Consider the following 22,456-nt stretch of genomic DNA (forward strand, 5'->3'; position numbering starts at 1 on the left):
TATTAGATCTTTTGCTCGTAAAACTGAGGCTGTTTGCTTCTGACATTTAATATTTCTTTAACAAATGTTTATTGAAACCCAGCAAGGGCATGCAGAGGTAGGTCTGATGCAGTTTATGCCTGCTTTGGTACTCACAAGTGCAGAGAGTGAGTCCGGCACATGCCCGGTGACATCACAAGGCCTAACAGGGCAGGCAACATAGAAAAGGTATCAACTAGAGTGTTCCGTGAAAGTGTCATATATGCCAAGTGGCCTCCAAACCCAGGAAAAGCCGAGAAATCAAAGAAGGAGGAAGACACATCCAGTTTGTTGGTAAAGGGCGATTTCCTGGGGTCACTTATGAATGGAAGTGTGGTCTTGGGAAGCAGCAAGACAGGTAGACCTCTGCAACATTACTCCCCAGACCCAGGGCTCTTATATCACAGGGAAAGGGCACCTACCCTAGAGAGACAATTGAAGACACCCCTCCATAACAGGCAAGAGTTTTTCATGCGTTATGGGCTATCATTTGTGCAATAACTTAAGGGTTGCCTTGATCTAAAGGCAGGAGCACTTGTTCTTACAGGAAGGACAGGAAGTGAAGTAGGAATCAGGAGGCATTTGCGGGCCTAGGCTAACCAGAAGTCAATGTGGTAGATTAGCATCCATGATGCAGTCACTTTTGTCTCCACATGGAGCTCTGAGGAGGAGGAGGAGGAGGCCTTTTTTAGTTTGAGGAAATAGCGAAATATCTTAGACCTGGAGTACAGGTAAAATTTGGTTAAAAGGGGATTTAATTCTGGATTGTATTTAGTAACAAAAAATCACTACAGAATTGGAATTTGAGAGCAAGTAAGAGGGACAGATACCAGTCAAAGCAAAGTTTAGATTTCAATATGAAAAATAAAGAAAATCCTCAGGCTAAGTAAAAGCAGCATGACCATTTTAAATGTTCCTTGAGCAACCCTCGGCTTCATGGTCTTAACTTCGTTTCTGCAGCTCAGCACTGTTTCGTTTTGGGTTGGATAATTCTTGGTTGTGGGAGGTTGTCCTGGGCATGTAAGATGTTTAGCACCATCCCTGGCCTGTGCAGCACCCTCACCCCAATTGTGACAACTAAAAATATCTCTTGACATTGGCAAATGTCTTTTGGGCAGCAAATTGTCCTGGGTGAGAACCACTGTCTCAGCTGTTACTTTGTTCTATGTCCCCAGAGACATGGAACACACTAGGAAACCTAGTTACAATAATAGTTAGACCAGATTCCAAAAACATTAGGCAGTCAACCCTGTCTTTCCTATGGCCAGATCTGAAACGTGTCCTGCTCAGTGGCTAAGAGGAGGCAGGTGTATGAAGTAGGAGGATGTCAGCAAATGGGCACAAGGATGGGTAGAGGGCGTTGCACACAGGGCATTGTCTTACCAGAGGCAAACACTCTGGGCTGTGGAGTGATCTCATTTTGCAGAAGTCCAAGATCCATGAGAAAGGAGTGCCCTCTTCTCCTTTCAGTCTTAGTACAGCCCTAGTATGAGATGTATGAAGTCATAGTGGAAAGCCAGAGGTCCTGAGAGGAGCTGCAACTCTGCAGGCCAGCATCACTCAGGTGCTTTCTCATGCTTCTCTAAATACATCCCTACCCCACCTCAGTGCCTGTTCTCACTTGAACACCTTGCTTGGACCACTCCCCATCACTGATTACACAATACTCCCACCCACAGACACCGAGGATGATTCTTCCTTTTTCCTTGAGACTTCTCTGGCTTTTTCATTGCTTGGCATTTTCTTCCCTTTGCTTGTGTTTTTTTCTTTATAGCAATAATCTTTTCCTCTTCTTTGGCATAAGTTTGCATCCTGCCTGCCAAAAGATCTGTTCGTAGAGTGTTTAATATCCACAATCTTACCTCGTTCCAATTCAGTGTTCTGCTCCTAGAGAGCACAGACTTTGTCTTTTATCAGTCCTACTTTTGCGATATGCTCAAGTATCCATGTGATTTAGGAGATAAAATATGAGGGCAATGACAACCAGTCCAGTCCTGGAGGTCTTGGTGTCTGAAAACCCAGGGGTACCACAATAAAGAGGATATGTGTGGTCCTGAAATGTTTAGGTTTTAGTTCACCAGGAGGTTTAATACTGCCAAATTCTACATTCATTATTTACTAAGTTGGTGTCCTATGCTCTTCTCAAGCTCTAGATCTTCTTGTTATAGTTCCTTAAATTATTTTTTTGATACTTCTAAGTAGTTAAACAATGATTTTAACTTTAGATTGGTATTCCAATGTATTTCTAAACTGCTGTATGTGTTCATAAGTTAAGAACTAACCAAATTAAAGTTTAAAGAATCATGTCTATGGTTTATCACTTCAACAAAATAAGCCAACAATGGATTTCTATTAGTGGGATTTAGCTAAAAGCATTTTCCTGATGCTGGTTTGGGACCTCATCATGCTTTTCCTGGCTTCAGCCAACACCAACTGCCCCAATCCTGAGTCTGGTGCAGGTGGAAATATTTGTTCAAAATTGGTAATTGATTTCCCAGAAGGACAGACAGCATCTAGAGTATAGAATTTCGGGGACCCAACCTCATAGGGAAAAGTGTATTTGCTCCCTCCCTGGTCATCTTGACCTCATTCCAGCGCTTCCCTTCTTCTCTCCCACCCTTATGACCCTCTGGCCTATTTCAACTGGAGAAATCATCAAGTCCCTCCTTGTCCCCTCTCCAGCCTGCAGGACTCTTGCTAAGCCTGCAAGGTTGTCACAGAGTGCTCCTCAGATGCATTCTTCAGCTGTCCTTCCTGTGGCATTACCAAAACACACCCTCAAAGGATTATTATTATTTGTTCTTTCTGCCGAACCTTCTCTCTCCTAATCCATTCTCTACTTCTCAGTTTCTCTAGCCTGGACCCAGTTTACACCTGGGCTACACCTGTGCCATTTTCCTCTTGGAGCAGAAGGGGTTAGAATGCTGCTGGATGTCCTCCCTTTGGGCTCAATAAACTCCTGGAAAATTCTCTTCTCCCCTTTTACTCCCTGGCAAAGGAAAATTTACCCCTTATAAAATCTGTAGAGTGTGTCCTAACGCGCAATACTGGACCATCTCTTAGTGATGTTATGTCCCCTTGTCTTGCATCACTATATTCCCTTCTTCTTGCCTTTCTAGCCTATAGATATTCCCCCTTTCCTAATTGTCCTCATCCTCATCTTTTATCTCTTTTGTCTTCACCATTTATTATAGTCTGTTACCTACTGCTCTGAGCAAGATATATAGATTATCTAGCAATCTGGATAATAATATTGAGAACTAATTCTTATATAGTGCTTACTGTATGCCAGCTGTAAGTGCTTTATACACATGAATCAATTTATTCCTCATGACAATCCTACAAAGTAGCTGTTATTATTACCCTTCATCTTATAGGCATAAAAAAGTAGTCATAGAAAGGTTGAGTGACTTTTCCAGGATTACCATCTAGTAAGTAGAGGGACTGACATTTGAACCCCAGCATTCTGGTGCTACTTTGCTCTATGATGCATCATCTCATGATTGTCCACATTTAACAAATGAAAGAAGTGAGCCTCCTACCTGTGGTGGAGCTGCCTTTCAACTGCAGCCAGTCTGACTCCAAGCTTGCAGGCCTGGTCACCATTTCCGCTTCCTTCCTGCTGGAGCACTTCCCAGAGCCGTAAGCATGAACATGCAAACTCTCGCTGCATCTTCAATGGTGTCTGCACCAGCAACTCTCTCTTGTTGACATGTCTTTTGGCAAAATTTTAATATCTTTTCCATTCCTATTGAGACCTCATCATCCTACTCATTTAACAAGTAATTTCTAATTTCCTGAGAGACACCTCTTGTCAGCTAGCTTTTTGATGGGCTCTCACAAAGTTTTTATTTCTTCGTTATCCTTTTCTTTCTTTGTATCTATGTCTGAGAAAGAAATCTGCTTAATTATTGAGTGTTTTTATTCTGTTTGATGATAACATAATCGATTTCCCTTGGGATGCCTTCTGTCAGTGGTTTTATTCTGCTTTACATCCTTGATCTTTTCACAGTCAAGAGCAGTTAATAACAGAACATCAACCACATTGACTTAACCATATTCATCGTTATTTGTAGTAAGAATCCAGAGGTAACTGGTTATTGGCATTCCTTAAGAGGTCCTAGGCCTGACAGTGTGGGTGTTCCCAAAGTGGCTGCTGTAGCTCCACCCAATATATATATGTTCTAGGCAACAACTAAGAAAAGCAGAGAAAAGCAAAAAGAGCACATGCCAACTGTCTGTTCCCTCTTAAAGTAGCTTTCTGTCAGAGTCCCACCCAGCAACTTGTACTTAGGTTTATTTGTCACCTGGCTACAAAGAAGTCTAAGAAATGTAGACTCTAGCTGGGCACTTTGCTACTTAAATAAGGTTAGGTTTCTGTTCCCAAGGAAGATAGGGATCATGGTTGTGGAGTGGGAAGCCTGCAGCCTCACTTATTCACCTGACTGGATTCTTTTCCTCCATTGAGGGTAGGTCGTTAGGTTGAGCAGCTGAGCTGAACGGACTCTTGGGCTTTCAATTTAAGATTGTCATATGCTATGAAAGAGCCCTATATGGTATAGAGATTCATGAGTTTACGTGTGAGCACATGATAGAGTGTGTGTGTGTGTGTGTGTGTGTGTGTGTGTGTGTGTGTGGCTCAGTTAATAACAGAGGAGAGCTGGAGTGGAGTGGCACTCACCTAATAGCCACAGGTGGCTAAAACTATCCTTTTGGGCACTGATGTTTTGTCCCAGGCAATTAGGGATGCATCCTCAAATCCTCTGCATGTCATAAATTGAGCACATAATGGTGCCCTGGTAGCTAGCTGCCTTTGTACTTGCAGACACTGAGCATATTCCCAACTTACCTGGAGGGAACCATTAACAGCTGCATGCGGCATCTATTTGCTTTTCTCCTCCCTTGAACCTGATTGACATAGGAGGCTTAAGTCTGACTTGGTAAAAACACTCCTGTCATGGAAAGGAAATAAAACATGCTTCTGAAGCACAGAGTTTACAATGTGAAATACTCCAGGCCAATTTATGATTTTGGGGTGAGGGAGGATAAAGGCTGTGTATTTTGTTGTCGTTGTTGTTGTTTTCTTTTTTCTTTTTTTTTTTTTAGACAGAGTTTTGCTCTTGTTGCCCAGGCTGGTGTGCGAGTGCAATGACACGATCTCGGCTCACTGCAACCTCTCTGTCCCAGGTTCAAGCGATTCTCCTGCCTTAGCCTCCCAAGTAGCTGGGATTACAGGCATGCACCACCATGCCCAGCTAATTTTGTATTTTTAGTAGAGATGAGGTTTCACCATGTTGGTCAGGCAGGTCTTGAACTCCTGACCTCAGGTGATCTGCCCGCCTCAGTCTCCCAAAGTGCTGGGATTACAGGTGTGACTCAAGGCACCCAGCCTGTTTGTTTGTTTTTCTTTCTTTCTTTCTTTTTTATTTTTTATAAAGAAAACACAGCTTCAAATGATTTAAAGAAAATTGTTAAGATTATGAGAATTTACATTTCCTTGAGTTATCAACTGTAAACTTTGAGAACCAAGAATAAAAGTAGAATAAAGTTCAAAGGATCCCATCATAGATGTGTTATATAGCCATCTAAGTTAAAATATAAAGAATAGTGTAGAAGGGTTTGTTTGTGGATTTTTTTCCTAAAAAAAATGAAAGGAGGCAGAATCTTGTTTGAGCTCTCAAGCTACCACTGTCTGAGTAGCTGCAAATTAATGTATCACCTTATGTGACACCATATGCTTTAGTGTGGCAACTTTGACTTAATATATCTATAAACCATTACTATAATCATAACATCTCGGATTAAGATTGCATCACCACATAATGAAGTGGATCATTTAAAAGTGAAATAGATAATTCAGTATGTTTATGTCACTTTCACAAATGGGGAAGGAAGTTTGCACATGAGCACAAAAATAATTTCTGCCATGATGTGGAACTATGGAATGATGTGCTACTGAGTTATATTTTTCTATATTTTACTTTAGTTTAAAGCATCATATAATTCACCTGCTGCTACTAACCACTGAATTAATTCTCTTTACTAGAAATGATTTTAAGAGAGATAGTGCACCTCCATATCCTCAGCGTGTTTCACCTCACCTGCTATGTGTAATTTGTCATCTCATTTGTTGTCACAACATCATGTTGTATGAACACAGCATTGCTCTGACATAATTAGCTGGGAAGACTTTCTGATTCTCATGCCATTCTCATGCTGGACATTTTGGTTAGCTGCCTCTGGTCTTGGAAATTCAGGTCATGAACAGTATCACCCAGAGCTGTCACTTTATCAAAAGTAAACATTCGGCATTCATTTTTTAATATTTTCTGTAAGAATAAACAGAATGCTTTTCACTCACAATGAAGATGGAAAATAGAAGTGTTGGAGATATTTTTAGATGGGTGAAGTTGTTGGGGACTCAGACTCACATCATGAGTCCTGTTCATTCATACACATTTATTGAGTAACCACTTAATTAGAGATGATGAAAATGTGATTCCTAATCTCAATAAACTCGGCATAGTGTACAGGCAGAAACATAACAATGAATACAACACAATATGATAATTGTTCTAAGAGACTGGTGAACGAAATGCTGTGTTGTGCATCTCAGTTTAAACCTGCAAACATTACTGAATGTTTACATAGTGCCAGGGTCTTGGGATTGAGTGGGTAATAAGGCATGAGCCCTGTAAGAACTGGGCTAGACACTCAAATAAAAAAATTATGTAAGAAAGACCATTAGCACGACAAGAAGGTTTCAAAGCCCATGAGGTAGGAGTTAGGAGGAGGAAGAATGCACACACATTGTTTTAGGGGAAGGATTGGCACAGGTAGTTTTATGGGTGAGGAGGAATTTAAATCACGTGTATGCTTAGCCAGCTAATCAACTATGAATGCATTAGAGGTAGTGGCACAGAGATGAACAATGTAAACCATGTTTGAAATAGCTTGATGGCAAGTGGAATACAGGTGGAATCATGCGGCATAAACTTGAAGGGAATCTTTGGGACCAAATTATGGGAAATATTAATTCTAAGGTAAAAAAAAGGCAAAATAATGGAGGAACAAAGGGAAGCAAAAAGAAACAGGAGAATAACTGGCCTATTAAACAGAAATTTTTGTTCTCTAGTAGGAAGTTAAATAAGACAAACTGAAGTCAACTGGTGACCAAGCACATGGAGAAGGCAGCATGGGTGCAGGAGACGCTGAAGAACACGATAATAGAACTTTACAGCCGGCTGATCTGAGCTTGAGAAAAGGAGGTGCCTTTGGGTTTGGGACATGGAAAGATAGTGATGTCTTTAGAGAAACAGAAGTTGGGTGGGCTGTGAGGGTGAGGAGGATTCTGGGTGTTGAGTATGTTCCTAGGGACACTGATGGGCTGTTTGGAGAATTCCTACGAGGAAGGGCTGTTGATATTCATGTTCTCTTTGCTATGGCAAGAAGCAGGAGAGAAAACTTAAAGTTGGGGGTGATTATTGCGTATGGTTGAGACGGAGGAATAAGTAGCTGAACTCATCACAACTTTGAAGCAATATTTATAAACTCTGAAGTAGAGTGAGCTGAGCTCAGATTCATGTTGCTGCATTTATTTTAATTATTACTAAATATAGGCAATTTGCCAAATGCTTTCTGTGCATGGTCTTATTTAATCTTTATTACGTAATGGCTATTATTGTACCCACTTCACAATAAAGAAACTGAGACCTAAAGAATTTAAGCAGTTGGCCCCAAAACAGAGTCAGTATTGAGAAAAGCAGTTTTCAAACTCAATTTCTTGACTCTAAGTTTCTTATTCTTTCTATACCACTTCAATAGTCTCAACCAACCTTATGTATAACTGACTAAAGAACAAAGCTTTGCTTCAAGTACATGTCGTGGGCACCTGCGTGATGAAACCTACACACTTTACTCTTTGTTGAATTTACTTCCTGTGTATTTACCGAGAAAACAGACTATCTTCTTTTAAAAAGATGCACAGACTCTGCTTTGAAAGCCTGGTTTGATGAAATAAAAGATATTTAGAGTAAGACTCTTACTCACTTACTACGTATGTAACTTGGAAAAAGTTAACATCTCTGGAGGTAGTCTTTTTCTTCAGTGGAGATAATAATACGTATTTTATAGTATTTTGAAAAGAAATGGAGGAATATACCAATCATTTTCTCACCTGCGTTAATCCATTTGCTGTTACTATAACAGAATACCAGAGACTGGGTAGTTTATAAAGGAAAGAGGTTCATTTAGTTTAGAATTCTGGAGGCTAGGAAGTCCTAGATTTGGTGGCTGCCTCTGGTCGGCTTCTGGTGAGGGCCTAGTGCTGCTGGATAGCCTGGCAGAAGCACAGACATATGAGTGCAAGCTAAAAGAGACAAGCACAAGGGGTCAAGCTTGCTATGTAACAACCCACTTTAATGAGAACTAGCCAAGTTCCCTGAGAACTAACCCAGTCTCTAAAGAATAGCATTAATCCATTCATGGGGGAAGAGTCTCCATGACCCAAACACTTCCCACTTAGTCCTATGTCCCAGTGCTACCACATTGAGGAATTGAGGTTCTGATACCTGAACTTCGGGGGGACACGCTCAAACCGTAGCACCACTTGAGCATGCTATGCTTTCTCTTTCCCCCGCTGTAAAGTTCTTTCCCAAGAAAAACACATGACTAGTTCCTTCAGTTCTCTGCTCTACTGTCCCCTCTTCAGAGAGGTCTCCAGCATCGATTGTAATTATTCATAGAAGAAGAAGAACACCTGGATGTTAGCTGACAACATGCCTACATAGGAATAAGACTGTTTTCCAGCTTTCCCTACAGCTACATGTGGCCGAAGAGTTATAGTAAGAAGAGATGTCCACAATGTCAGGGATATGAATTTGCAAGGAGGGACATCCCTGATTCTTCCCTTTCTTTCTTCCTTTTACTTTATACAGAGCTGATGGCTAGAGATGGCTAGAGATGAAGCAGCCATCTTGAGCCACGAGGAAATCTTAGCAATGGAGACCTGTGAAGCGGAGCAATAACACAGAATGAGCCAAATGAATGCTTTTTCTACTCTGGCTGCCTGACTTCAGACTTTAAACATTAACATCCTTACTATTTGGGGCTTTCTGTCACTGTACATGAATCTGAACAGACTAATATTCCCTGTGACATATTAAATATAGCATTAATTTATGTACTTAGAGGTTATTGTCTATCTCTGCCCAGTAGCATGTAAACTTTCTGAGGGTAAAACCTTTTCTTCTGTTTACTTCTGTATCCTTACCATTTGAAATAGTGCCAGGTACATAAATGTGCTCAACGTATTTGTTGAACAAATGAATGAATGTATTAATAATGAATGTAAAATTCCTAGTACATGGCAGCTTTTTGCTTAACGGGAATTCCTTTCAGAATGCTGCAACTAGACTGTAAAAGACGAATCAGATGAGGCCACTCAAGCATTCAGCTTCTGCCTAGCTTAATGAACAACAACCACTAACAAGAACAATAACTGACCCCTTTGATGGAGACTTTTACTCTGATGCCATTTATCTTTAGACAGGGTGAAGCCTGCTTTCTCTCAAAACAGTCTGCATTATTCATGACTAGTTTGCTGCTTTTCGAAACTGGACTCTGTCTGCCTTTGGCATCTCCACTAACAGAAACTATCAGGTGTACGATTCAGTCCTAATTGCTGCCATGGCCTTGGCAATATTGTGCTGTCACCTTCTCTGCTGGACAGCCAGACTTAGTGCTGGTGTACACCGGCTTGCCAAGAATTAATGTGCATTGCAGACAGCAAAAATATGCCATTCCAGAATCCAACTGTACACTATGGGATTATGATTTCCTATTGTAAATATAGCCTAGGCACAAGAAAACATAGCCTAACCAAGGAAATGGATTTCTTTATTCCAGGTTTAAAATGTATCAGGATTGGGATTTGGGAGAAGCTTTTCTTACTCTGAGTTCAAACTATGAGCATAAAATGCGTGTGTGAGTGTGTATTTTTAAATGCACCAGCCCACAACATTTGTTTCATAGTTATCTTACAAATTTTATTTTTTCATTCCATTTTTATAAAAGAACAAAAAAAATTCCTAAAGCATCAGTTACATTTTGGCAAAAAAAAAAAAAAAAAAAAAAGCTGCAAAGTCCAAAAAAACTCAGTGGCTTAAAAAATCATTTGCCCTCAAGAGCCTGCAGGTTTTATGGAGATGGGCTGGCCTGGGCTGGATTTGTGCACCTGTCCCTTGTCATCCTGGGATTGGTGTCTGGAATGTTGAGGCACCAGAATGGACAGGCCAAACTGCACAAGGATGAACCAAGCCTCTGGTCACATCACCACTACTAATGTCCTTTTAGCCAAATCAAGTCACGTGGCTAGCCCAAAGTAAAAGGGTAGGAAGGTAGTCCCACCCATAGTGGAAGAACACCACGTATAGCTACATGGCAAAGGACACAGATGTAGGAATGAGAAGAATTGGGGCAATATTTACAATCTGCTACAACCTCCAAACATTTTCACCAATTTTTAAAATTATTATTATCTATTTCTTGGTCTATTTTGTTCTACTTTTCCTTTTAGGAGAGTTTCCTAGATTTAAAATTTTTATGTGTTTTGAAAATCTTTTTTGTTTTTGGATTACTACTCTAAATATTTTATATAATATCCTGTCAGTATTTCAAGGATAAAATGTCTTTTATTAATTTTTAAAAAATTTTAGTTTTAGGGGTATAGGTGTGGATTTCTTATATAGGTAAATTTCATGTCATGGGGGTTTGGTGTACACGTTATTTCATCACCCAGGCAATGCAAATAGCATCCTATAGGTAGTTTCTCAATCCTCACTCTCCTCCCATCCTCCACCCTCAAGTAGGCTCCAGTGTCTATTGTTCCTTTCTTTGTTTTCATGCATACTCGTTGTTTAACTCCCACATATAAGTGTGAACATGTGGTATGTGGTTTTCTGTTTCTGCATTAGTTCAGTTAGGTTAATGGGCCCCAGCTCCATCCATGTTGCTGCAGAAGACACGATCTTGTTCTTTTTTACGACTGCACAGTATTCCATGGTATATATGTACCACATTTTCTTTATTTAGCTGATGGTCATTTAGGTTGATTCCATGTCTTTGCTACCATGAATACCTTCTGCAAAAAACATATACATGCATGTGTCTTTATGGTGAAATGATTTGTATTCCTTTGGGTATATACCCAATAATGGGATTACTAGGTTGAATGGTAGCTCTGTTTTAAGTTTTTGAGAAGTCACCAAACTGCTTTCCACAGTGGCTGAACTAATTTACATTCCCACCAACAGTGGATAGGCATTCCCATTTCTCCACAGCCTTGCCAGCATCTGTTTTTTTTTTTTCTTTTTAATAATAGCCATCCTGACTCGTGTGAAATAGTATTTCACTGTGGGTTTGATTTGCACTTCTCTGTTGATTAGTGATGATGAGTATTTTTTTCATATGTTTGTTGGCTGCTTATAGATCTTCTTTTGAGAAGTGTCTCTTCTTGTCTTTTGCCCATTTTTTTAATGGGGTTATTTGTTTTTTGCTTGTTAAGTTCCTTATAGATTCTGTATATTAGACCTTTGTTGGGTGCATAGTTTGGAAATATTTTCTCTCATTCTGTGGGTTGTCTTTTTATTTTTAACTCTGTTGATAGTTTCTTTTGCTTTGCAAAAGCCCTTCAGTTTACTTAGGTCTCACTTGTCAGTTTTTATTTTTGTTGGAATTGCTTTTGAGGACTTAGTCATAAATTCTTTGTCAAGGCTGATGTCCAGAATGATATTTCCTAGATTTTCTTCTATGATTTTTTTAGTTTGTAGTGTTATATTTAAGTCTTTAATCCATTTTAATTTTTATACATGGTGAAAGATGGGGGTCCAGTTTCATTCTTTTGCATGTGGCTAGCCTCTTATCCCAGCACTATTTATTAAATAGGTAGTCCTTTCCCCATTGTTTATTTTTGTCAGCTTTGCTAAAGATTAGATAGTTGTAGGTGTACAATTTTATTTCTGGATTCTGTATTCTTTTCCATTGGTCTATGTGTCTGTTTTTGTACCAGTACCATGATGTTTTGGTTATTGTAGCCTTATAGCATAGTTTGAATTCAGATAATGTAATGGCTCCAGCTTTGTTCTTTTTTATTAAGATTGCTTTAACTATTGGAGCTTTTTCTTTCTTTTTGTTTTTTTGGTTCCATATGAGTTTTAGAATAGTTTTTTTTTAATTCTATGAATAATGATATTGGAATTTTGATAGGAATTACATTGAATCTGTAGATTGCTTTTAGAAATGTGGTCATTTTTATGGTGTTGATTCTTCTAATCCATAAGCATGGGATGTATTTCCATTTATTTGTGCCATATATGATTTCTTTCATTAGCATTTGTAATTTTCTTTGTAGAGATCCTTCACTTCCCTGGCTAAGTATATTCCTAGGTATTTTGTGTTTTTGCAGCTTTGTGAAGGGAATTGAGTTCTTGATTTGATTCTCAGCTTGGTTGTTGTTAGTGTATAGCAGTGCTACTGATTTGTGCACATTGATTTTGTAAACTGAGACTTTACTGAATTCATTTATCAAGTCCAGGAGTCTTCTGGAGGAGTCTTTAGTGTTTTCTAGTTACACATTCATATCATTGGCAAACAGAGATAGATTTACTTCCTCTTTTCTGATTTGAATGCTCTTTACTTTTTTCTCTTGCCTGATTGCTTTGGCTAGGACTTCTGGCTGCCTAAGTCTCTGTAGGTCTAGAAGTACTTGTTTTATGAGTCTGGGTGCTCTTTGGCCATTTTTATATTGGTTTATTTGTCTTTATTATTGAGTTGAGATCTATATCTATATCTATCTTCTGGATGCCAATTTCTTATCAGTTGAATTTTTCCCATTTTATGGGCTGTCTTTTCACACTTTGGGTATTGCCCTTGAAAGCACAAACATGTTTAATTTTGATGATACTTAATTAATCTTTTTTTCTTTTGTTGTTTGTGGTTTTCGTGTCATATCCAAGGATTCATTGCCAAATCCGAGGTCATGAAGATTTACCCCCAGATTTTTTTCTAAATGTTTTATAGTTTTAGCACTTACATTTAAGTCTTCGATTCATCTTTAGTAATTCTTTTTTGTATTAACTGTGTGTGAGGTAGGGTCCCAACTTCATTTATTTGCATGTGGTACTCACAATAGGATATACCTGTAGATCAGTGAAATAGAATTAAGAGTCCAGGAGTAAACCCTGGGCTTTATGGTCAACTGATTTTTGCAAGGGTGCTAAGAACATTTGATGTTGAAAAGACTATTCAGACATTTGGTGTATGTGCTTGGCTGAGGAGCCAATGGGGTGGATAGGATTTTCAAATCGTGTTTTCAATAAGTAGTGCTAGGAGAACTGGACAGTCACATGCAAAAGTATGAAGCTGGGCCCCTACCTCTCACACAGTTAATACAAAAAAATTACTGAAGGTGAATGAATGACTTAAATGTAAATGCTAAAACTGTAAAACTCTTAGAAGAAAACATAGGGATAAATCTTCATGACCTTGAAACTGTCAGTGGATTCTCAGATATGACACCAAAAACACAACAAACAACAAAAGACAAAAAGTAAATTAATTGTCATCAACATTAAACATGTTTATGCTTTAAATGACACTATCAAAAGTGTGAAAAGATAACAGAATAGGAAAAATTTACCTGATAAGAAATTGGCATCCAGAAGATAGATAGCTGTAGATATATATCTCAACTCAATAATAAAAAGATAAATAAACAAATATGGAATGACCAAAGGCACTCAAATTCATAAAACAAGTACTTCTAGAACTATGAAAAGACTTAGGCAGCCACATAATAATACTGGGGGACTTCAACACCCCACTGACAGCATTAGACAGATAATTGAGGCAGAAAGCTAACAAAGAAATTCTAGACTTAACTTTGACACTTGACAAATTGGACCTAATAGGCATCCACAGACTACTTTACCCATCAACCACAGAATGTACATTATTCTCATCTGCTCATGAAACATACTCTCAAATCAACCACATGCTCAGCCATAAAGCCAGTCTCAATAAATTCAAAAAATTGAAATCTTGAACCACAATGGAATATAAAAAATAAAAATTAGGCTGGGTGCGGTAGCTCACCCCTGTAATCCCAGCATTTTCGGAGGCCAAGGTGGATGGATCTCTTGAGGCAAGGAGTTTGAGACCAGCCTGGCCAACGTGGTGAAACTCTTTCTCTACTAAAAAAAAAAAAAAAAATACAAAAATTAGCTAGGTGTGGTGGCACGCACCTATAATCCCAGCTACTTGGGAGGTTGAGGCAGGAGAATCACCTTAACCTGGGAGACAGAAATTGCAGTGAGCCAAGATTGCACTGCTGCACTCCACTCTGGGTGACAGAGTGAGTGAGACACTTCTCTTTCATAGATAGGTAGATAGATACATAGATAGATAGATACATAGATAGATAGATAGATAGATAGATAGATAGATAGATAGATAGATAGATGACAGAGAGATGTAAATAAAATAAAAATCAATACCAAGATTTCTCAAAACCACACAATTACATGGAAATTAAACAACTTGCTCCTGAATGACTTCTGGGTAAACAAAAAAATTAATGACTTTTGAATGATAAACAAACTGCATTTCTAGAATAAATCTCACTTGATCATGATGTATAATTTTTTTCAATATTATTGGATTTAATTTTCTAGTATTGTGTTGAGGATTTTTGTGTTCATATTCTTAAGAGACATTGGTCTGTAATGTTCCTTTCTTTTGAGATTGCGTGTGTGTGATGTCTTTGGTTTTGGTATTGTGGTAACACTGGCCTCAAAGAGTGAGGTGGAAAGTGTTCCTCCACTTCTATTTTTTAAACACGTTTGTGAAAAATTGGTATTATTTCTTAAAACATTTGGTTTACCAGTAAAACCATCAAGGATGGCTTGTTTTTGTAAGGTCAGCAGTAATGCTTTCTCTTTCATTTCTGATACTAGTAATTTGAATCATCTCTCTTTTTTTCTTGGTCAATTATGCTAAATATTTATCACATTTGTTGATTTTTTTTCATAGCCATATTCCATATGGCATTCCAAACTTCCACAATCAACTTTAGTTTCATTTTTCTCTATTGTTTTTATATTCTTGATTTTATCAATGTCCACTCCAACTTTATTATTTCCTGTCTTCTTGCTTTAGGTTTAGTTTGCTTTTCTTTTTCCAGTTTCTTAAGGTATACAGTTGAGTATTATTTTGTAATTTTTCTTACATGTTAATGGAAGTATTATTACTATAAATGTTTCTCCAAGCACTGCTTTAGCTACGTCTCATAAGCTTTGGAATGTTGTCCCTTCATTTTCATTCATCTCAAAGTATTTTATAAAGTAACTTGGGATTGCTTCTGCCTCGTTGTTTTACCCACACGCAGCTGGTAAGATTCACTCATTGCTGTATTGTTTTCAACAATATCATGGGCATAAATTGTTCTACATATAAATCTCATAAAATTTAGGCTGTGTTAAAGGACTCCTTCCTGAGATCAGTGTTTGAGATTTGTTTTAATCACAAATTTGCCACTGGGAGGGCTCCTTCCAGTGGTCTCCCTGGTTCTCTCTGGTAAATTAGACAGCCTGTAGTTTAGCCTGTATCTCCGATGAATCTATCAATCTCCCAATTGCCTTTCACCACAGGTTCCAGTTATTAAGAACACCCTTATGGTTGAACTTCTCCACATTTTGTTGCCAAAAAAAAAAAAAAAAAACCTAAAAACTAAAACAACAAAACAGTCCCTTTGGGGATAGATTAGCAGTTATCTGTTTATGGCTTGCTTCTTTAGAGGCAAGGAAACATATATGAGCCACATTTCTGGAGCTAGAAATGGGAGCAACATCATGTTTCTTTCTGAATGACCCTCCCACTTTAGGAGCTGAACACTCATGGGAGAGGGAGGACAGTGACCTCAGATTCTCTCAGCTTGCTTCTCCCATGTGGAAACCCCACACCATGATATGAGGCAAGAACAAGGGGGACCCCAATATTCTCGGCAATGCTGTTCTTAATTTAAAGCCTCTGTCTAATGAGCCTTTGTCTAATGAGGTAGAGCTGGGTAAAAAAAGGGCACCATCACCTCTCATCTGTACTCACTGGCAGCTTAACCTCATGAACATGTAGCTGGGGCCAGAATGAGAGGGGAAGACAGCTCACTTACAGAGAGCTAAGGTGGGAGAGAGCCCTGTGTTCTTGGATGCAGCAGGCTGGAGTGGAGTTTCCATTTCCCTGAGCTGGGAGGTAGCAGAAGAGTAGATCTTGTTTTAAATGCCACAGACTATTACTGTTCTTACTCAGTTTTAGTAGACTTTCTTGAATAACTATATTTTTTATCTTGCTGTATACAGAAAAATAGCATTTTGGAGACTTTACTGTTTTTTAAAAAATAGTTTTCAGCAGTCTTACTGGGAAATGAGTCTGCAGAACTCCTCATACTGTCCTGATGGAAGCCTTGGCTAAATGCTTTCAAAGACATCTATTTATATCTATTTCATGCTGGTATTGTACCTGCACCTAAAGTGACTGTGCCCGTAAAATAGGGAGTCTAGTTCTATTGTTTTTGAGTCCAATTTTAACATCCATATTGACTTTTTACAGCCCCTGCTTTCTTCTCATTATTGTAAATATTTATAGTATTAATTTTATTGTGTACAGAGGCATATTTGAATGATTAAAAGGCAAGCACCAGCCTTTTGAGAAGACTTTATCAATCACTCTAGCACAACTGTTCACAAAGCAAGGAGTCAGCCGCCTCCCATATAGGCATCCCCCAACCATAACGTGGAGAAGCAGATCCCAGTTAGTACTTTCTATGTTATAGCTCCTCTAGTTTGTAATTAGTGTTTGAAAGGATCCAGAGTAACATGGAAAAGATTCACTGTCTTGATTCACTTTCATAACTCAGCTGTCACTTGGGTCTTTCCTGCCCATGGGAGATTTAGGAAAATGTGCCTGATTTCATGCCAGGGAGTCCAGGACCCTTGTCTCAAGGGTTCTATGAACTCCTGGTGAGTCAGAGGCCTGTGTGCCCTGCCCTGTTTTTGAGCCTGTGCAGTCCTGCCTGGGCATGTGCTCCAGTGCCTGGGGAGCCAGCCACATTATCACCCCCGCCACCATACACCCAAATGTATCAATAATTCCATGAATTTAGTAATTTTCCAACATTTTTGAATGTGGGCCTGAAGAGAGAAGTAATTGTGAATCCCTGGGCTGTCCGTCCACCTGGCCCCTCCCTGCATCCTCAGCTGTTTCCCCTCTTGTGCCCCTGGCTGCCAGGGTGCTGTCATTACTCAGGCATCCAGTTGGAAAGTTCCAGGCACATTTCGGCCCAGAGTCACTTACCCAGAGCCTGGCTTATCAAAGCCTTTTCTTAACAATGGGAGGGAGGTTGAATCTTAAAGCAATTCTTCTCTGTTAAGGCAATTATGCATTTTTTCTTATTATTACATTATTTATTTAAGGGCTGTATTACATGGGATCTGACTGGAGACGATAGAGGTTATTTGCAAAGCCTTTGAAAATGAACTCAGAAGAAGTTTAATCCACTCTCCCAAGGGAACCATGTCCCTACAAAAACTTAAAACTGCAGCAAAACAGAATAGAGAGGGTTTGCTTGTGTGCCTGCAGCAGAGCACCCCCTTCCTTATGTAAACACTTACAAAGCTGCCATCTTTGCACAGATGGTGGCTGAGTGGGGTGCTGGCTTTGAAGGCTCCCTGTTTTAATACTGGTGTTTTCCTCCTCAGGTCTCACGCACGAAGTACTGTAAGCTTCTCTATGGGCAGCACTCATCAAGCCAGAAAGTAGCTTGCCATGGCTTCTTCTATGGGGTGTTTTCTTTATTATGTTCATAAAGCAAAAAAAAAAAAAAAAAAAAAAAAACAGAGAGAGAAAGAAAAGAAAATCAGAAGACAATGACTACTTTAGCTCTCTTGGCCTCTCAAGGTGACTGGTGTGAGAATAGCTTGGTGGCTAAGGACAGAAAAAAAAATCTTTTGTTTATCTAGACTCTAGGGTATTTCTGAAATGAAGGGAAATGTTCAGAGACCATTAAAAATGCAAGAGGCCACATAAGGGGCTGAGTCATATAGCTGTCACCTCACCACCTTGGAAACAAAACGCTCTATCATGTTTGTTTAGCTGGTGACAATGATATAATGCTGGAGATGAGGCTATGTATTTTTTTTTATCCCACTGACTTGGCTATTGTTCCTTACTTTAAAATGATCCCCTTTGGTTACTCTAAAGAACAAAGGAAAAAAACAATAGATATGCATTTTGCTGTTTAGTTAAGAAGGAAATATTGTTTTCATTACACCAAAGTCTGACAAGGAATTTAATTCACTCATTACTCCATTAAATATGAACTGGGCATCTGCAGGGGTGTTAGAGTCAGTGGCAGAAGGGTTTATGTGTCCTGTATTCTTGGAGCTCTACTGTAACAACTGATGGCATTGAAGGATGCACCATACACCTGCATGTACACAGGAAGGGCTTTCACAGCCAGAATAGGGCCTTGCACAAGTGAGCACTGAATTAGTACTGAATGGATGGAGGAAAGGAGATCTGGTTGTGGGTAGCATGAAGGATACTCTTAGATGCGAAGTCAGAGAGGAAGGCACTCGTTACATCATGGAGAGCCTCATGGACAAGCTGAAGAGTTTGATATTGAGTCAGAGTCTTTCAGACATGAAGCTGACATGGCCTCCGGAGTTCTGAGACAGTTCTGTTGGCCTTTCCTGGAGGTGACGTTGACCCAACCACTTTAATTTGGATCTATGAATGGTGGAGTCATTTAAGAAAGTGACACATCCAGCCACAGAGAGCAGTGTTTATGGAGTGATGTGTATTAACATGAATCAAGCTTCTTTTTTATTGTGAAGCTGTCATGTCCCTATACGATCTCGTCTTTAAACTCAGAAGTGTATTGAGGCTGTTTTCAAAGAGGTTTTCTTCTCCAGGAGGAATGTGAGTGCCAGCTGCCAAACACTGTTTTGTTGTTGTTGTTATTTGTCAAAGGCTCTCTTTATGTTAATACCTTGGGTCTGTAATCCTCACAGCCATTCTGATTTGCATATGCAATGATTGGAAAATGATCCAAATCAAACTTAACTGAAGTTGAAATAATAAAGGTGCTTGCAGTGAAGGGACATGGTTGTGAGGTAAGCCCCATGGTCTCAGCTCTGCTAGTTAATAAGCTGAGTGACAAAGAAAAAATCTCCTGATCTCTTTGGGCCTCAAATTTTTGCATTTTATAGAGAGGAATTGGTATCCATTCTAGTCCATGTACAGGTGTGATAAGAGTAAAATGAAATTATTGATGTGAAAGTATTAATATAAAGGATATAAGAGCATTAACGATTAGATGAGATCCTGCTTCAGGCTGGAGTTTTGAGGTTAATTACTCAGCTGGAACTGTAACTCCCTCCATTCCCTTGGAGTTGTGTGACCCAAACAAGTTATGTAGCTTCTCTGAGATCCACCTCGCTTCTGTAAATCAGAGGCAGAGATAGCAGCATCAGTATTTTGTGGGGATTAATTGGGATAATGTGTTTGGTGCCTCACTCACAGAGGATACAGGACAGAGCTCATGTCCTCAGTCTTCTCTTTTGGTTTCCTTTTCTTTCCAGTGGGTAATCATGAGGACTGAGATTACAATGAGGAAGTTTCTATTAATAATACAGAGATGCCAGCTACACATCAAGTGCTCACATAAATGTTTGCATCCCGCTGTTTGCTCAGCCACCCTTCCTCAGTGCCATCCTCTCCTCCTCTTCATGCATCCAAAGGAAACCTATTACAATTCAGTAGCTGAGGACAGATCACTGGAATTTGGTACTTTGTTGAGGCACCAACCCATGAGGAGTGGGGTGTGGTGTGGTAAGGCAGGAAGATGAGAATTAGGGACCAATGTAGTCTGAGGCAGCGGGGACCCCATATTCCACAGTCAGTGCTGTAACACTTGTGCTGGATGAGAGCTTAACGTGAGACCACGGGAGGCCTGGTCCCCCTCCGCTCTCTGCTCTTGCCCTGTGGTGGATGAGGGAGAAGTCATCTTTAAAGGTATTTCCTACTCAGATATGTGTAGGGAATAGCACATGTATGGGGTTGTGGATGTGAGTGTGAATAGACTCCTCGTGGGGCAGATGATGGAAATCAGTGGGCATATATCTATAAACACATAATACAAATATTACATATTTTACAAATCCTGTTATTTTCTAAAGTCTAAGATTAGTTTCTATACCAAGAAGAATTTTATGCGTTTAATTTTTAGAGGCAATGTGACAAAAAGTTCCTAAATAAATGATTTTTAAAATCAGAAACTGAAATACAGTCGTAGAGTATGAGACATTAGTATGTTCCTTTAATTCTCTTAGAAGCCATGTATATTTTTTCTTTCTAATGATAAAGTTTTATGTGCTCATTATTTTAGAATTCAAAATAGTATAAAGAATAAAACCTAATGGTTATGCGATTATTTCTTGTCCGGATAACATTCCAGAATTTATTTCAGTCTGACTGTAAATATGTGCAAACATACTTACATCATTAATGTAATACTGAGTCTATGATTTTCTATTTTGCACTTAATATTATATAATAGCCATTTTCTCTTCATTAAATATTATTTGTAGAGATTTTTAATAGTTGAGGCTGAAATCAATGTATTTGTTATAAATTATGACTTTTAATTTGGGGGGAAGGACTTTTATAAGGGGAGCCTTAAGCTCAGGAATGCAAAGCTTCATAGGCACTTGGTATAACTTGACAAGTGATTTTTCAGAAATGTCTCTGCAGGTGCATTGCCACCTCTTTTGTTCTGCTCTTGAAGTGTCTGACTTTCAAAATATATGTGTGTATGTTTTTTCTTCCTCTCATGTATTATTCCTGCTTCTGTTTTAGCATTAATTAATATATTACATTTAATGTTTGTGGTTCCAAAATGTTGTACCTCAAAAAATTGTAGAATATTTCTTGTAAGCACCTTTACCTACAGATAATGCCATTTATTTATCTCTATTTAATCACCGATTATACAAATAATGTGGACATAACGTATTATCTAGAAATGTTAGATCAATGAGTGAACATAGAAATAAATGACTCCTTGGCTATTTTGCAACATTTTATTCTGTGGAAGTATGAAAATCAAATAAATCCTTCAGGGAATTTAGATTATTGACATAACTGTGTATGTTATAGATAGAAATGAAAAAGTCAAGCTAATATTAATTAGATATTTACATCATAATGAATTTAATAATCTTCGAAGAGTGTCTAAATTGTTGAAGGTGCCATGCTTTTATAATTTTACGTTTAGAAGTCTTCTTAACTATTAACTGTTCTAGAGAGATCCTGAGTAACCTATTTCAACCTATCTCCTATCTGTTTCAGGCATATTTTCTCTAGAGTGTTTCTATTTTGGAAGACTGGTAGAATTTACTTTTTGTTTAATTTCTGTGTAATTTTTCTTTTTTCGTAATTCATGTTCTTCACAGTAAAGTTGGAATTCTTTTAGTTCAAACGAAATTTTAATTTGAAAGAATTTTAATTATTAATGTGCATATGTGCTTATAGAGAATTTATTAGATAATTACTGGAATTTAGCATGAATTTTTCAAAAGTCATTAGCAAAATATACTTAAAGGGCTGCAGTTTCTACTAATGGTAAAAATGGATCCTAATATGCATAAGAACATACAGCCATCTCTGTGCCACTGTCTCCTCATACCATTGTATTTTTATATAATGCTTCCTATTCATGTTTGAATTGTTTTATCTGCTTTTATCTAAGTTCTCCAAATAAATAGTGGCCTTCTTCACTCCAAGAAGAACATTCTTCTGTTCTGGTCATATTCTGAATAGATCCTAAATTTCACTGCTTATTTATCTACTTAGTTACACAGTGCCAGACATTGTTCCAAGTAATTTGCAAGGATTAATTCAGTCAGTCCTCTCACAACCTTATTAGGCAGATACTATAATTAATCTATTTGCTAGATGAGGCAACTGAGGTTAGAAAATTTACCAGACTTTCCAGGGTCAAACAACTGGTACGTGGAGGAGCTGGATTCAGTAGTGCAAACACTACATTTTGTCATGCCATCAGAATCATTAATAAACATGAGACCAGAAACACATCTCCATGCAACACATCCCCTCTGCCCTGGAACATAATGTTATGCCCAGACACAGCTGAGAGCTCTCCCAGGAGCATTTACAAAGCTCCAGTGACATGGTGCTTCACCTTGGGAAGCCCCTTCAACCACCTAGGCCTCAATCCCTTCTTTTCATGAAACGTGGACATATAGACCCACTTTGGGGGATTTGGTGAAGACACAATGGGTTGATCGTGTTATTCAGCAGCATAGCT

The 22,456-nt window shown here is 38.7% G+C and overlaps 1 protein-coding gene across 10 annotated transcripts in view; it reads left to right on the forward strand.

Moving 5' to 3' along the window:
- ABCA13 (ATP binding cassette subfamily A member 13) overlaps positions 1–22,456 on the forward strand; it is a 476,040-nt gene that overhangs the window by 447,988 nt on the left and 5,596 nt on the right. Inside the window, exon 60 of one of the 10 annotated variants that reach the window (XR_926914.3) lies at positions 7,154–7,286. The exons of 7 other annotated variants lie outside the window; for them this stretch is intronic. Coding sequence is in view for 1 of the 3 variants with exons in the window: in XM_011515134.3 (XP_011513436.1) it covers positions 8,955–8,967 (13 nt within the window). In the remaining 2 variants the exon portion in view is untranslated. Of the gene's footprint in view, positions 1–7,153; positions 7,287–8,954; positions 9,995–22,456 lie in introns of those variants that run through there. 2 more of the 10 variants (XR_926915.3, XM_011515134.3) reach the window with 2 other exon arrangements.

The sequence above is a fragment of the Homo sapiens genome, chromosome 7 (assembly GCF_000001405.40).
Source record: "Homo sapiens chromosome 7, GRCh38.p14 Primary Assembly".
Lineage (NCBI taxonomy): Eukaryota > Metazoa > Chordata > Mammalia > Primates > Hominidae > Homo > Homo sapiens.